Raw genomic sequence first — 16,493 nt, forward strand, 5'->3', positions numbered from 1 at the left:
TGCCCCTGCCTCGACCTCACAAAGATAAATCTCCTGTGTTTTTTACCAAAAAAAAAAAAAAAAAGTGAAATATTATCCATATTAATGTAAAGAATGTCAAAAGCCCAAACCAGTAGTAGACACATCAGCTAGGAAGCTTCACAGCAAGGAAAAATAATGGGTAACACAACAAGAAAAGAATAAATTAGTGAGTTAAATGTAAAAGTTTTATTTGGCAATTACATGTTCAATATCACTTTGAGTAGCCAATACTCTCAAAAAATTTTTTTTCTTTTTTTTTGAGACAGAGTCTTGTTTTTCACCCAGGTTGGAGTGCAATGGCATCATCTCAGCTCACTGCAACCTCCGCCTCCAGAGTTCAAGCGATTCTCCTCCCTCAGCCTCCCTAGCAGCTGGGACTACAGGCGCGCAACCACCATGCCCGGCTAATTTTGTTTGTATTTTTAGTAGAGACGGGGTTTCACTATGTTGGCCAGGCTGGTCTTTAACTTCTGACCTCATGATCCGCCCACTTCGGCCACCCAAAGCGCTAGGATTACAGGCGTGAGCCACCACACTCAGCCTCAAAAAGTATTTTTAAACCTCCAATTCCAAGCAAGAAAAACATCTATACCTGCCTTTCAGTTGGACGAGAGAATTTTTATTTTTTTATTTTTTTTTGCCGGAGCTAACTTTCGAACTACCATCCAACATTTCAAGGTTAATGTGGTATGTCTCTATTACAATAAATATTTTTTAGATGAGTGGTGTATGGTCAAAATTACATCAACTGCAAAGTCTACAATTATTATGCATAGGACAAAGGGCACACAATTTCTGCTACTACCATTGAAACTTACTTACAGCATATAAAAAGGCAATCATTTACTTTTTTTTTTTTTTTTTTGAGATGGGGTCTTCTTCCATCACTTAGCCTGAAATGACGAAACCCCGTCTCCACTAAAAAACAAATACAAAAAATTAGCTGGGTGTGGTGGCGCACACCTGTCCCCATGCACTCCAGCCTGGGTGACAGAGCCAGACTCCGTCTCAAATAATTAATTTTAAAAACTTTTTTTGTGTGTGTGTTTTTGGAGTCTCGCTCTGTCACCCAGGCTGGAGCACAGTGGCGCAATCTCTGCTCAGTGCAAGCTCTGCCTTCTGGGTTCACATCGTTCTCCTGCCTCAGCCTCCCAATAAACTGGGACTACAGGCACCCACCACCATTCCCGGCTAATTTTTTGTATTTTTAGTAGAGACGGGGTTTCACCATGTTAGCCAGGATGGTCTCGATCTCCTGACCTCGTGATCCACCCGCCTCAGCCTCCCAAAGTGCTGGGATTACAGTACTGTGCCCAGCCAATTTTAAAAACTTTAAAAACTACATACTACTTTCCCCTTCCTTATACTATATTGATAATTTGCAACAAAAACTAGCAAGCCTAGTTTTTGAAGGACCATATACTTTTTTTTTTCAAGACAGTGGTTTCTTGCTGTCTCCCAGGATGGAATACAGTGGTGTAATGACAGCCACCGCAGCCTCAATCTCCTGGGCTCAAGTGATCCTCCTCCTCCACCTCCCAGAGAGCTAGGACTACAGAGGCGTGCCAACACATCTGGCTGATTTTTAATTTTCTGTACACAACCGTTTTCACCAACTTCTCTGGGCTAGTCTAGAACTCCTGGGTTCAAGTGATTCTCTCACTTTGGCCTCCCAAAAAGTACTGGGATTAGAGGCATAAGGTACTGCACCTGGCCCATATACTTTCAAGTGAAAATTTGAAGTCAGTTTTTCTCCAATATACTCAACATAGTACTTTTTTTTTTTTTTTTGAGACAGTCTCACTCTGTTGCCCAGGCTGGAGTGCAGTGGTGCGATCTTGGCTCACTGCAAGCTCTGCCCCCCAGGTTCACAACATTCTCCTGTCTCAGCCTCCCGAGTAGCTGGGACTACAGGCGCCCACCACCACGCCTGGCTAATTTTTTGTATTTTTAGTAGAGACGGGGTTTCACCATGTTAGTCAGGATGGTCTCGATCTCCTGACCTCGTGATTCGCCTGCCTCGGCCTCCCAAAGTGCTGGGATTACAGGTGTGAGCCACCGCGCCCAGCCCCGTAAATTTTTAATAAACGGTATTCAAGGGCCAGGCGCGGTGGTGGCTCACACCTGGAATCCCAGCACTTTGGGAGGCCGAGGCGGGCGAATCACGAGGTCAGGAGATCAAGACCAACCTGACTAAAGCAGTGAAACCCCGTCTCTACTAAAAATACAAAAACTAGCCGTGCATGGTGGCACTTGCCTGTAGTCCCAGCTACTCAGGCGGCTGAGGGAGGAGAATCGCTTGAACCCAGGAGGCGCAGGCTGTAGCGAACCCAGATCGCGATCGTGCCACCGCACTCCAGCCTGGGTGCACTCCAGCCTGGGTGACAGAGCGAGACTCACTCTCAAAAAATATAAAATAAAATAAACTTTGAAATAGACCTGCTATGTACCCACAAAAATTAAAAATTAAAACTCTGGCCGGATGCAGTGACTCATGCCTGTAATCCCAGCACTTTAGGAGGGCAAGGTGGACAGATCACTTGAGGTCAGGAGTTCAAGACCAGCCTGGCCAACATAGTGAAACCCCGTCTCTACTAAAAATACAAAAATGAGCCAGGCATGGTGGTGCATGCCTATAATCCCAGCTGCTTGGGAGGCTGAGGCAGGAGAATGGCTTGAATCCGGGAGGCGGAGGTTGCAGTGAGCCGAAAGTGCGCCACTGCACTCAAGCCTGGGTGACAAAGCGAGACTCCGTCTCAAACGAGAAAAAAAAAAATACTTCAAGTGTATCTTACAAAACTGACAAAATACATTGTACTTATCCGCAAGGTAACTTCATAATCTTTAATAAGCACAGGTTTCCTAAAGGAGTCATATAATGTACTGCACTTTTTTTGTACACGGTAAAGCAACATAAAAAAATAATGACCGGCTGTGCACGGAGGATCACACCCATAATCTCAGAACTTTGGGAGGCCGCGGCGGGTGGACCACTTGAGGTCAGGAGTTTGAGACGAGCCTGGCCAACATGGCCAAACTCCATCTCTACTAAAAAAATACAAAAACTACCCAGGCAGAGTGGCACACACCTGTAATTCCAGCTACTCAGGAGGCTGAGGCAGGAAAATTGCTTGAACCCAGGAGACAGAGGTTGCAGCAAGCCAAGAGCGTGCCACGCACTCCAGCCTGGGTGACCCAGTGAGACTGTCTCAAAAATAATAACTACAATCTGTATTTTACAGATTAACTAAACAATGCCAAACTCTATAGCTGAAAAAGACAATGTCCTTGAAAAAGGCTGTTCAGATGGAACCAAATCAACATTTCAGGTAAATATACATATATATGTAAACATATATGTAAATATATAGATGTAAATATATATATATTTTTTCTTTTTTTTAAACCGAGTTTTGATCTTGTTGCCCAGGCTGAAGTAAAATGGCGCGATCTCAGCTCAGCACAACCTCCGCCTCCCGGGTTCAAGCAATTCTCCTCCCTTAGCCTACCGAGTACCTGGGATTACAGGCATGCGTCACCACATCTGGCTAATTTTGTATTTTTAGTAGAGATGGGGTTTCTCCATGTTGGCCAGGCTGGTCTCGAACTCCCAACCTCAGATGATCCGCCTGCCTCGGTCTCCCAAAGTGCTGGGATTATAGGCGTGAGCCACTACACCTGGCCTCAGGTAAATATTTATTTTTTTTTTTTTGAGAGAGTCTTGCTCTGTCACCTAGGCTGGAGTGCAGTGGCGTAATCTCGGCTCACTTGCAGCCTCTGCCCACCGGGTTCCAGCGATTCTCCTGCCTCAGCCTCCTGGGTAGCTGGGATTACAGGCGCACGCCACCACGCCTGGCTAATTTTTGTATTTTTGGTAGAGACGGGGTTGCACCATGTTGGCCAGGCTGGTCTCAAACTCCCGACCTCAGGTGATCTGCCCGCCTTGGCCTCCCAAAGTGCTGGGATTACAGGCGTGAGACACCATGCCCGGCCTATATTTTTAATAACTACAGTGAATATAGGCCGGGTGCAGTGGCTCATGACTGTAATCCCAGTACTTTGGGAGGACGAGGTTAGAGGACTACTTTGAGTCCAGAAATTTGAGACCAGTCTGGGCAACACAGTAAGACCCTGTCTCTATTTATGTATTTATTTTTTGAGACACTTTCGCTCTGTAGCCTAGGCTGGAGTGCAATGGCCCGATCTCAGCTCACTACAACCTCCACCTCCCAGGTTTGAGTGATTCTCCTGCCTCAGTCTCCTGAGTAGCTGGGACTACAGTCATGTGCCACCACACCCGGCTAATTTTTGCATTTTTAGTAGAGCAGAAGTTTCACCACATTGGCCAGGCTGGTCTCGAACTCCTGACCTCAGGTGATCCACCGGCCTCGGTCTCCCAAGGTGCTGGGATTACAGGTGTGAGCCACAGCCCCCAGTCTCAGTCCAATTTTTAATAAACTATAAAATATTTAATTCTGATTAGATTTTTTTTCCAAATCATCCTACCAAATTACCAAACATGAAAATGCATGTAGGCCAGGCACAGTGGCTCATGCCTGTAATCCCAGTACTTTGGGAGGCTGAGGCTGGCGGATCACCTGAGGTCAGGAGTTCAAGCCCAGCCTGGCCAACATGGTGAAACCCCAGCTCTACTAAAAATAACAAAAATTAGCAGAGCGTGGTGGCGGGTGCCTGTAATCCCAGCTACTCAAGAGGCTGGGGTAGAAGAATCACTTCAACTTGGGAGGCCGAGGTCACACCACTGCACTCCAGCTTGGGCAGAAGAGCGAGACTCCATCTCAAAAAAAAAAAACAAAAAACAAAAAACAAAAAAAACACTGACTCCTAATTAAGAAATTTTAATTTCTATGTCATAAACAATTAATCTGGTTTTTTTTTGTTTTTGTTTTTTGTTTTGTTTTGTTTCGTTTTGTTTTGAGACAAGGTCTCGCTCTGTTGCCCAGGCTGGAGTGCAATGGTGCCAACACAGTTCACCGCAGCCTCGACCTCCTAGGCTCAAGTGATCCTCCAAGGACCCTGCCTCAGCCAAGTAGCTGGGACTACACGTGCATGCCACCACAACTGATGTATTTTTTTGTTTTGTTTTGTTTTGAGACAGGGTCTCATCATGTTGCCCAAGCTGGTCTCCAAATCCTGGGCTCAAATGAACCTCCCACCTGGAATTCCCAAGTGCTGGGATTACGGACGCAAGCCACTGCACCTGGCCCAATTAATCTTTTGATCAAAAAAAGTCTATTATATTTTATTTAAGAAAACAAAAATTTATTAGTCTCAAAATATTTCAAGTAAGAGTCAGTGTGGGCCAAGTGTGGTGGCTCACACTTGTAAGCCCTGCACTTTGGGAGGCTGAGGCAGGCAGAGAGCCCAGGAGTTCGAGACCAGCCTGGGCAACACTGCAAAACCCTGCCTCTACTGATAATACAAAAAATTAACCAGGTGTGGTGGTTCGTGCCTGTAGTCCCAGGTACTCAGGAGGCTGAGGTGGGAGAATCACCTGAGCCCAGGAGGTTGAGGCTGCAGTGTGCTATGATCTCACCACTGCACTCCAGCCTGGGCAACACAGAAAGACCCTGTCTCAAAAAAAAAAGAAAATTCCTAAATGAAGTCTCAGGTATCTTCCATTTGAAAAAGAAGGTAAATAATATCTATCATTTAGGACTGCTATGAGGACTTTAAGTGAGTTATACTTTAAGTACCCGGCACATGGTAAATGCTCAGTTGTTCACTGAATGCATGAGCTGAATGCAAGAGTTTGAGGTTGCAGTGAGCTATGATCACGCCACTGTACTCCAGCCTGGGCAACACAGAAAGACCCTGTCTCAAAAAAATAAAGTAAAATAAAAATAAATAAAAAATGACACTAACAAAATCATGTTTACTGAGACTGAAACTGTTGTCTGCTCTGAAAATGCAGTATTAAATGCACTAGAAACGGTTAGTTAAAACCAATGCGTACACCAAATAGAAATGCACTGTGTAGAAAAGAAGCAAAGAACTTTGTGATAATATTTTCACCACTTCAACGCTAACACCCAGAGACTGAAAAGATTCTGGCTGTCAGGCCTAGGGTATATACGTTTCTCAATCTCAGTAGACCCTAGAAATACACTCTGGCTTTACAAAGTCCTGAGAAGTCAAAGGTAACTTTGTCTATAAAGTCTCAGGGATAGTGAATCAACATTAGCCTAGTGGTCTCAATACTGCTGGGCAATTCCTCAAACTGCTTTGTAGCCACTTCCCTACCCACCCAAACAAATATCGAAGGATTATCCATGTCTAAAGCTTCTTGTAGTTGATCCCAAACTGATGCACACTGAACAGTGCGGAGAGGTAGAAATTACTGAAATTTGCCTTTTTCTACTCTCTTCCTTGATATTATTCAAAGGAATATGCCTGTAGATTATTTTTCTTTGTTAAAGCTTCACTGAATTTAAGACCCAAAGCATTGGCTAAAAGGAATGTAATAAAGAAGAATTAACCAATATTTTCATAACATATTCAATTCCATTAGCCACTTCTGGAAGCTCTATTACTTACATTTAAAAAGTGACCAATTTATCACTGTGTAAGAAAGGGCAATATTACTAAAAATCTACAGTCTAAATGTAATTTCAGAGGAGGAAAAGTCCAGACACCTAAAAATATAATTACTGTCTCTCACTTCCTCAAACTTCAGATAAGAAATGTAATTTTTCTAGCTGACCTTCAAAAACAAGAAAGAAAGAAATGATCATTTCTGGGTCTTTGGTTTTTTTTTGTTTTTTTTTTTTTTTTTTTTTTGGAGACAGTCTTACTTTATTACCTAGGCTGGAGTGCAATGGTGCAATCTCGGCTCACTGCAGCTTCTGCCTCCTGGGTTCAAGAGATTCTCCTGCCTCAGCCTCCCGAGTAGCTGGGATTACAGGCATGTGCTGCCACACCCGACTAATTTTGTATTTTTTGGAAAGACGGGGTTTCACCATGTTGGTCAGGCTAGTCTCGAACTCCTGACCTCAGGTGATCCACCCGCCCGGCCTTCCAAGCCGCGCCCGGCCAGAAATGGTCATTTCTGAATGTACCACGTGTAATGCCAAAGGAACCCAAGATCCCTGCCCATGCCTAATAACTGCCAAACACTGACAGGCTTCACTGAGCTGCTGAGGCCAAAAAAATAGGTTCCTAAACTAGTTTATGTTTTCATTCATTCAACAAATATTTACTAAGCAGCCACTAAGGGTAAGGCAATAAGTATCAGCCACGTTCCCGGATACACTGCAGTGAACAAAGCCCTTGCTTCAGTGCTATGATTCTCAATAGGAGAAAGTACAGAACTAAAGAGGGTGATAGGAAAACTTCAGAGGCTGGGGAGCCTTTTCGGCTACCTGCTTCATTACACCCTTTAAGGGAGTCCTCCTGAATATTTACACAAAAGGGAAGTTGGAAAAAAAAAAAACATTTGTTATAAACAAAGGATTAAGTCAAAACTTTGAAAACTACTGACTCGGCGGAACTTCCGTTCCAAAGGTAGGAGAAATCAGTAAATGAATAATTTCAAAATGTGGTAAACACTACGAAGAAAATAAAGGTGACACAAGAAAAGTGCTCTAATAAAAACTGGGTTCTTGGGGAAGGCCTCCCTTTAGAACACTTTACGTACAAGCGACCATCAACTCTCACGCCACACAGAACCAGAAGCACGATGAGGTAGAACCGTCGTTAATAGTTCTCATCCATCCTAGAATTCATATTGCCTGTTATTAATTAACGAATACAATCATCCCAGTCGTTTAGCAATTCAACAACAGGTAGCAAACCCCCTCGAGACTTTGAATACGCTCTAAACAAAACTTGAAGCTGCTTTTACCACGCTTGCTCGGTCTTTAGGGATCATTGTTCACACACCTAAGGCAGCTGACAAAAGAGAGAGAGTCACACTCGCTTAGTGGCTGAGCTCGACCTGCTCTGGCACACGAGACTGAGCAGGGGCTTTCACCATGGGTGCGTAGGCTCAGAGGAGAGAGCCCCGAACCCCAGTCAGGCCCCGGGATCGCGGGCGCCCAGAGCGGGCGGCGGGGGCGTGGCGGGCCCGGCGCCTGCCTTTGTTGTCCCTCGTGGCGTGCGGGGGGGAGGGGCGGCCCGAGGCCCGCGAGGCCAGCTGCCGCCTCCGGCCCCGGTCGCGTGGTCTCCCGGCCCCCACGGGCGCGCGAACCCACCTTCTTGTAGTGCTTGCCCAGCCAGACCCGCACCGAATCCAGCTGGGACACCGTCTCCGGGCTCTCCCAAAACTTGGTGGCCGGGCCCCCATCCTTCCGTCGATAAACAGCTAGGCCTGCGGCTGCCGCCGCAATCCCCGAGCCCGTGGCGCCTACCGCTGTCCCCGGCCCGCCGCCGCCCGCCGCTGCGGCCATCGTCGCAGCCCGTCGTCCCCACAGCCTGGCCCACCCCGGCCCTCGCGGTGTTTCCCGGTCGTTCCCGCGCGCACCCCCGCGCGCGTAGCCGCCACTGCCGCTTCCCGGCCCCGCCCAGCCAACCCTCTTCCGGCGCGGACGCCCGGCCCCGCCCCATCTGGGAACTGGCACTGTATCTGACGCGAGCCAGCGCACGCGCATGCGTAGCACTCGTGCGGCCGTGCCTTGGAATAGCACGTCCTGCGGCCTCAGCCGCCTCTTCCGCCATCCTCCGTAGGCTGCATTCTGCCCTAGTGAGCGCCGGTTTTTGAGCCTTGCTCTTCCCTCGCTACCGACGTCGAATCATTATGCGGTCAACAACCGCAGGTGGGTTATGTGTCATAGCCCGCCTCCGCTGGAGGGAAAAGGCCTGGTGCGAGAAATGCCCAAGGGAAAGCCTGTCTAGGGTATCGAGTGCTGGCCGAGGGCCCTGCACCCGGACTGGGACTGCGCCGGGCCCCGCTTTCCCTCAGGCCCTCCACCCCCAGCGGCCCGGCGGCATTTGTGAACAGCCATCTGGGACTCCCACGCCTAGGCTTTTCGGCTTCACAGACCTTCCACTCCCTCAGGGGTCCAGCCACAGCGGCTCATTCCTGCCCCAGGGGCCCTTGCACTGGCTCTTTCGAGACCTCAGCAGGTCTTCCCTTCTGATTTGCACTTACGAGACGCGTTCAGATTCACTGCTTCAAAGGACTTCAGAAAGTAGTTGTCAGATCTTAACAATCTTGAACAACTGTTCACACCCATACACTTTCTGCATAGCGCTCACCACGACCCGGCGTTTCTAGTTTCTCATTTACCTTCCACATAAATTACATGAGAACCTAATCTTAACTTGTTCACAGGTGTATCCTGAACACCTGAGACAAGGAACAGATGTACAGTAAATACTTGATGAGTTAATGAATGGCCCACATAGAAGCCGAAAATTTTTAAATTATTAACAAGGTATATTGGCCGGGTGCGGAGCACTTTGGGAGGCTGAGGCGGGAGGATCAATTGAGCCCAGGAGCTCTAGACCACCACACCCATCCCCGTCTCTACAAAAAATACAAAAATCAGCCAGCGTTGTGTTGCAAGCCTGTGGTCCTAGCCTCTTGGAGGGCTGAGGTGGGAGGATCCCTTGAGCTGGGGAGATGGAGGCTGCAGTGAGCTATAATCGCGCCACTCACTACACTTCAGCTTGGGCGACAGAGCGAAACCCTGTTTCAGAAACATAAAAAGTATGACTGGCCATAATGGAGTTGTGAACATAATGCTATATGATCGCAGAGAAGCAAGTAACTAATTGCTTGTGAGAACGTGACTAACTGCTGGTAAGTTTCTGAGATCTTTTAAAAATGAGGGTGTGTACATGTTTTCAGGATCTCCTGAGGGCTGTGTCACGGACAGTAAAATATATTAAATAAAAAAGTTAATAGAATGTGATCAAGAGGGCCAGGCGAGATAGCTCACGCCTGTAATCCCAACACTTTGGGAGGCCAAGGCAGACTGATCACGAGGTCAGGAGTTCCAGACCACCCTGGCCAACATGGTGAAACCCCGTCTCTACTAAAACTACAAAAATTGGCCAGGTGTGGTGGTGCATGCCTGTAATCCCAGCTACTCGGGAGGCTGAGGCAGGAGAATTGCTTGAACCCAGGAGGAGGTGGAGATCGCAGTGAGCTGAGATCACGCCACTGCACTCCAGCCTAGGCGACAGAGCCAAACTCGTCTGAAAAAAAAAGTTTTTAATTTGAAACTTTCTCAGATTTAACAGAAAAGTTGCAAATATAATACAAAGAACTTTTCCTGAATCATCTAAGAGTAAGTTGCTGACATAATACCCATCACTATCAAAAAGTTTAATGTGTATTTTCTACAGACAAGTATAGTCTATATATTCTCTTACATAATCACAATACAATCATTTATACCAGGAAATTAACACTGATGCCATCCCCAGACCCCATTCAGGTTTTTCCTATTGCACCATGAAGTCCTTTATAGCAAAAGTTTCCAGTTCAAAATCACACTTTGCATTTAATAAAGTTTCATCTCCTTCAATATGGAACAGTTCCTTAGTCCTTAAACCTTAACAACATTGATACCTATGAAGATTACAAGGCATTTATTTTGTAGAATGACCCTCAATTTAAGTTTGTCTGATGTTTGTATCTTTGTGTTCTTTGCATTGCATTCTATCAGGTGGTGCATAATTTCATTTCTCCTGTTACATTGATGACAGAGTATCATCCAGGTTTCTCTACTGCGAAGTTATTCTTTTTGCCTTTGTAATTAATCACTATTTTCTATGGAGGTATTTTGTTTTTTTGCTTTTCGGGGGTTTTTTGAGATAAAGTCTTGCTTTGTCACCCAAGCTGGAGTGCAGTGGTGTGATCATGGTTCACTGCAACCTCCACTTCCTAGGCTCAATTGATCCCTTTGTGGAGGTATTTTGAAAGTATATTGGCCGGGCGCAGTGGCTCACACCCGTAATCCCAACACTTTGGGAGGCCAAGGCAGGCAGATCATGAGGTCAGGAGTTCGAGACCAGCCTGGCCAACCTGGTGAAACTCCATCTCTACTAAAAATACAAAAATTAGCCGGGTGTGGTGGCAGGCATCTGTAATCCCAGCTACTTGGGAGGCTAAGGCAAGACAATGGCTTGAAACCGGAAGGTGGTGGATGTTGCAGTAAGCCAAGATCTCGCCACTGCACGCCAGCCTGGGTGGACGAACGAAACTCCATCTCAAAAAAAAAAGAAACTTGTTTCTAGAGTATAGAAAGAGCTCTTACAACTCAGTAATGAAAAGACCAGTAACTCAGCTGACCAATTAATCAATAACCCAATGGAATAAACTTGATACATGCAACACTGGGGAGTCTTACCCAAGTTATATGGGTAACTATATATATATACCCAATGTATAGTGTATGATTCAATATACGTGGAGTTACAGAATAGGTTAAACTGAAGTGTGGTTGCCTCTGGGGAAGTGAAGGGGCATGAGAGAACTTTCTGGGGTGATGATAATAAGCTGCAGTTTGATACAGATTTGTATTACACAGGTGTCTCCATACCAACTTATGGAATGATATGCAAGAGTTGTGGATTTTACTGCATGTAAATTTTACCTCAAAAGAAAAGAACTCTAGGAGCTGGCCATGGTGGCTGAGTCAGGAGGATCGCTTGAGCCCAGGATTTCAAGTCCAGCTTGGCCAGTGTGGCAAGATCCGTATCTAAAATTAAAGCATCAGGCCAGTGCAATGGCTCATGCCTGTAATCCCAGCACTTTGGGAGGCCAAGGAGGGTGTATCAATTGAGGTCAGGAGGTGGAGACCAGCCTAGACAACATGGAAAAACCCCATCTCTACAAAAAAGGTTACCTGCATGTGGTGGCACATGCCTGTAGTCCCAGCTCCTTAGGAGGCTGAGGCAGGAGAATTGCTTGAACCCAGGAGGCAGAGGTTATAGTGAGCTGAGATCATACCACTGCACTCCAGCCTGGGGACAGAAGGAGACTCTGTCTCAGGAAAAAAAAAAAAAAAAAAAAAAATCAGAAACTGCATGACCATTTACCAGCCATTACAGACATTAGCTTTCTCAGTTTATGGTAAGTTTACCAAAAAGGTTTCTCAAAAACATAGGAAAGGCCAGGTGCGGTGGCCCATGCCTGTAATCCCAGCACTTTGGGAGGCTTAGGTGGGTGGATCATCTTAGGTCAGGAGTTCGAGACCAGCCTGGCCAACATGGTGAAACCCCACCTCTACTAAAAATACAAAATTAGCTGGGCCTGGTGGCACATGCCTGTAATCCCCAGCTACTTGGGAGGCTGAGGCAGGAGAATTGCTTGAACCTGCGAGGCAGAGGTTGTAGTGAGCTGAGATCGTGCCATTGCATTCCAGCCTGGGAAACAAAAGCGAAACTTCATCTCAAAAAAGAGGGAAAAAAAAAAAAAAAAGGCTGGGTGCAGTGGCTCATACCTATAATCCCAGCACTTTGGGAGGCCGAGACGGGCGGATCATGAGGTCAAGAGATCGAGACTATCCAGGCCAATGTGGTGAAACCCTGTCTCTACTAAAAATATAAAAATTAGCTGGGCGTGGTGGCGCGCGCCTGTAGTCCCAGCTACTTGGGAGGCTGGGGCAGGAGAATTGCTTGAACCCGGGAGGCGGAGGTTGCAGTGAGCCAAGTTCGCACCACTGTACTCCAGCCTGGCAACAGAGTAAGACTCCATCTCAAAAAAAAAAAAAAAAAAGGAAAACATAACAAAGACTAGGCTTAGCAAACGTTTTCTGCAAAGGTCCCGATGCTCTCCGTTGGAACTACTCAACTCTGCCATGAAAGTTCAAAAGCAGCCACAGATAATATGTACATGAATGAACATGGATGGGTTCCAATAAAACTTTATTTACAAAAAGAGTTGGCAAAAAGGGCATGGTGGCTCATCCCTATAATCCCAGCACTCTCGGAGGTTTAGGCAGGAGGATCACTTGAGACCATGAGTTTGAGACCAGCCTGGGCACCATAGTGAAACCCTGTCTCTACAAATAATTTTTTAAGAATTAGCCGGCTGGGCGTGGTGGCTCATGCCTGTAATCCCAGCACTTTGGGAGGCCAAGGCGGGCGGACCACCTGAGGTCGGGAGTTCGAGACCAACTTGACCTACATGGTGAAACCCCGTCTCTACTAAAAATACAAAAATTAGCCGGGCGCAGTGGTGGGTGCCTGTAATCCCAGCTACTCGGGAGGCTGAGACATGAGAATAGCTTGAACCCGGGAGGCGGAGGTTGCAGTGAGCCGAGATCGTGCCATTGCACTCTAGCCTGTGCAACAGAGCGAGACTCCGTCTCAAAAACAACAACAAAATAAAAAAATAAAAATAAAAAGAATTAGCCAGGCATGGCCGGGTGCGGTGGCTCACTCCTGTAATCCCAGCACTTTGGGAGGCTGAGGCGGGCGCATCACGAGGTCATGAGATCGAGACCATCCTGGCTAACATGGTGAAACCCCGTCTCTACTAAAAATACAAAAAATTAGCTGGGCATGGTGGCGGGCACCTGTAGTCCCAGCTACTTGGGAGGCTGAGGCAGGAGGATGGCGTGGACCCAGGAGGTGGAGCTTGCAGTGAGCCGAGATCGCGCCACTGCACTCCAGCCTGGGCAACAGAGCAAGACTCCGTCTCAAAAAAAAAAAAACATTAGCCAGGCATGGTGGTACATGCTTGTGGTCCCAGTTACCTGGGAGGTTGAAGTGGGAGGATTGCCTGAGCCCTGGAAGTTGAGGCTGCAATGAGCTATGATTACACCACTGCACCCCAGCCTGGGCTGCCAAGTGAGACCTTGTTTCCAAAAAAAAAAAAAAAAAGTCAGCCGGACACAGTGGCTCGTGCCTGTAATCCCAGCACTTTGGGAGGCCGAGGCAGGTGGATCACTTGAGGTCAGGAGTTCAAGACCAGCCTGGCCAACATGGCCAAACCTCGTGTAATAAAAATACAAAAATTAGCTGGGTGTGGTGGTGCAGGCCTGTAGTCCCAGCTACCTGGGAGGCTGAGGCGGGAGAATCGCTTGAACCCAGGAGGTGGAGGTTGCAGTGAGCCGAGATCACACCACTGCACTCCAGCCTAGGTGATAGAGCGAGAATCTGTCTCAAAAAAAAATTCCTCACTGCCACCTCTACTTCCTAGGATCAAGCAATTCTCGTGACACAGCCTTCACATAGCTAAGATCACAAGTGTGTACCACCATGACTGGCTACTTTTTGTACTTTTACTAGAGATGGGGTTCGAGACCAGCCTGTCTCAAAAAAAAGAAAAATTAGTGGAGCATTGTGGTGGGCTTGAAGAATTGAGAATCACTTGAACCGGGGAGAGGAAGGTTACAGTGAGCTAAGATCGTACCACTACACTTCAGCCTGGGTGACAGAGTGCGACTCCATCTCAAATAATAATAATAATAATAATAATAAGAATAATAATAATGGCAAAATAAAAACATATAGGCCAGGCGCAGTGGCTCACGCCTGTAATCCCACCACTCTGGGAGGTTAAGGCAGGTGGATCACGACATCAGGAGTTCGAGACCAGACTGACCAACATGGTGAAACCCCGTCTCTACTAAAAATACAAAAAAATTAGCCGGGTGTGGTGGCGTGTGCCTGTAATCTCAGCTGCTCAGGAGACTGAGGCAGGAGAATCACTTTAACCCTGGAGGTGGAGGTTGCAGTGAGCCGAGATCGCACCAGTGCACTCTAGCCTGCGCTACAGAGAGAGACTCCTTCTGAAAAAAAAAAAAAAAAAAAAAGATGAACACTAATTAATCTTTGACAAATTAATGATGCGTGTTTAATTTTGGTGAACCACTAAGAGTAGAGCCATACTAGTAGAGTTAAAGAGAGGGACAGAGTAGTAGAGTTAAAAATAAAGGACAATAAAAGAGTGGGAAAGAACTAAAGCGACGCCAGGCGCTGTGGCTCACGCCTGTAATCCCAGCACTTTGGGAGGCTGAGGCAGGCAGATCACCTGAGGTCAGGAGTTCGAGACTAGCCTGACCAACATGGAGAAACGCCATCTCTACTAAAAATACAAAATTAGCCGGGCGTCGCGGTGCATGCCTGTAGTCTCAGGTACTCGCGAGACTGAGGCAGGAGAATCACTTGAACCCAGGAGGTGGAGGTTGCAGTGAGCCGAGATCACACCATTGCACTCCAGCCTGGGCAACAAGAGCAAAACTCTGTCTCTAAATAAATAAATAAATACAAAATTACCCGGGCGTGGTGGCGCATGCCTATAATCCCAGCTACTTGGGAGACTGAGGCAAGAGAATCGCTTGAACCCGGGAAGCGGAGGTTGCAGTGAGTCAAGATGGCGCCACGCCTGTAATCCCAGCACTTTGGGAGGCCTAGGCGGACGGATCAGGAAGTCACGACATGGCGACCATCCTGGCTAACACGGTGAAACCCCGTCTCTACTAAAAAATACAAAAAATTAGCCGGGAGTGGTGGCAGGTTCCTGTAGTCCCAGCTACTCAGGAGGCTGAGGCAGGAGAATGGAGTGAACCCGGGAGGCAGAGCTTGCAGTGAGCCGAGATCGCGCCACTGCACTCCAGCCTGGGCGACAGAGCGAGACTCCGTCTCAAAAAAAAAACAAAAACAAAAACAAAAAAACGGCTGGGTGTGGTGGCCAACATTGTGAAACCCAGCCTCTACTAAAAATACAAAAATTAGCCGGGCGTGGTGACACATGCCTGTAATCTCAGCTACTCAGAAGGCTGAGGCAGGAGAATCACTTGAATCCGGGAGGCGGAGGTTGCAGCGAGCCAGGATTACGCCACTGCACTCCAGCCTGGCAACAAAGGGAGACTCCATCTCAAAAAAGAAAAAAAAAAAAAGAAAGAAACAGGTTGGTGATTGGCTGACATTATGACAGAAGTAATGGAGCCCTGTGGGGAAATTAATACGCTGCTGACCTCTAGTGCCTAGTAGAAAAATTACATTTTCCGGCCGGGCCCGTTGGCTTATGCTTGTAGTCCCAGCACTTTGGGAGGCCGAGGCGGGCGGATCACGAGGTCAGGAGATCGAGACCATCCTGGATAACACGGTGAAACCCCGTCTCTACTAAAAATACAAAAAAAATTAGCCGGGCCTGGTGGCGGGCGCCTGTAGTCCCAGCTACTCAGGAGGCTGAGGCAGGAGAATGGCGTGAACCCGGTAGGCGGAGCTTGCAGTGAGCCGAGATCTCTCCACTGCACTCAAGCTGGGCGACAGAGCGAGACTCCATCTCAAAAAAAAAAACAAAAAAGAGAAAAATTACATTTTCCACTCAAAGACCCAATGTGAAAGGGACTGGCTTACTTGTCACTGGTTTATGTGTTGTGAGCAGAATAAGCACCCATGTTTAAACCTTGTTTGTCCATTATGATAATAGATATGTTTTGATGCATTGCTGTCATAAACTTTTTTTTTTGTTTACCATGTTTTTTCTTTTTCTTTTTCTTTTTTATTTTTTTTTCCACCATGTTGGCCAGGCTTGTCCGGAACTCCTG

The 16,493-nt window shown here is 47.0% G+C and overlaps 1 protein-coding gene across 1 annotated transcript in view, besides 6 other annotated features; it reads right to left on the reverse strand.

The window, feature by feature from the left end:
• The window catches only part of SMARCC1 (SWI/SNF related BAF chromatin remodeling complex subunit C1), a 196,625-nt gene extending 188,100 nt beyond the window's left edge, over positions 1 to 8,525 (reverse strand). Inside the window, exon 1 of the mRNA NM_003074.4 lies at positions 8,235 to 8,525. Coding sequence (NP_003065.3) covers positions 8,235 to 8,429 — 195 coding nt within the window. The 5' untranslated portion in view covers positions 8,430 to 8,525. The remainder of the gene's footprint in view (positions 1 to 8,234) is intronic.
• Positions 7,999 to 8,238: a silencer, noted in NCBI's record as "silent region_14313". NCBI's record gives its function as "represses an Ori minimal core promoter by ATAC-STARR-seq in GM12878 lymphoblastoid cells {active_cell/tissue: GM12878}" and the evidence as "EXISTENCE:reporter gene assay evidence [ECO:0000049][PMID:35858748]".
• Positions 8,419 to 8,638: a silencer, noted in NCBI's record as "silent region_14314". NCBI's record gives its function as "represses an Ori minimal core promoter by ATAC-STARR-seq in GM12878 lymphoblastoid cells {active_cell/tissue: GM12878}" and the evidence as "EXISTENCE:reporter gene assay evidence [ECO:0000049][PMID:35858748]".
• Positions 8,419 to 8,765: a biological region, named in NCBI's record as "Sharpr-MPRA regulatory region 56".
• Positions 8,471 to 8,765: an enhancer, noted in NCBI's record as "tiled region #56; HepG2 Activating DNase unmatched - State 1:Tss, and K562 Activating DNase unmatched - State 1:Tss". NCBI's record gives its function as "activates a minimal TATA promoter and a strong SV40 promoter by Sharpr-MPRA in HepG2 and K562 cells {active_cell/tissue: HepG2 | K562}" and the evidence as "EXISTENCE:reporter gene assay evidence [ECO:0000049][PMID:27701403]".
• Positions 9,049 to 9,098: a silencer, noted in NCBI's record as "silent region_14315". NCBI's record gives its function as "represses an Ori minimal core promoter by ATAC-STARR-seq in GM12878 lymphoblastoid cells {active_cell/tissue: GM12878}" and the evidence as "EXISTENCE:reporter gene assay evidence [ECO:0000049][PMID:35858748]".
• Positions 9,209 to 9,268: a silencer, noted in NCBI's record as "silent region_14316". NCBI's record gives its function as "represses an Ori minimal core promoter by ATAC-STARR-seq in GM12878 lymphoblastoid cells {active_cell/tissue: GM12878}" and the evidence as "EXISTENCE:reporter gene assay evidence [ECO:0000049][PMID:35858748]".

The sequence above is a fragment of the Homo sapiens genome, chromosome 3 (genome assembly GCF_000001405.40).
Source record: "Homo sapiens chromosome 3, GRCh38.p14 Primary Assembly".
In the NCBI taxonomy this organism is placed as follows: Eukaryota; Metazoa; Chordata; class Mammalia; order Primates; family Hominidae; genus Homo; species Homo sapiens.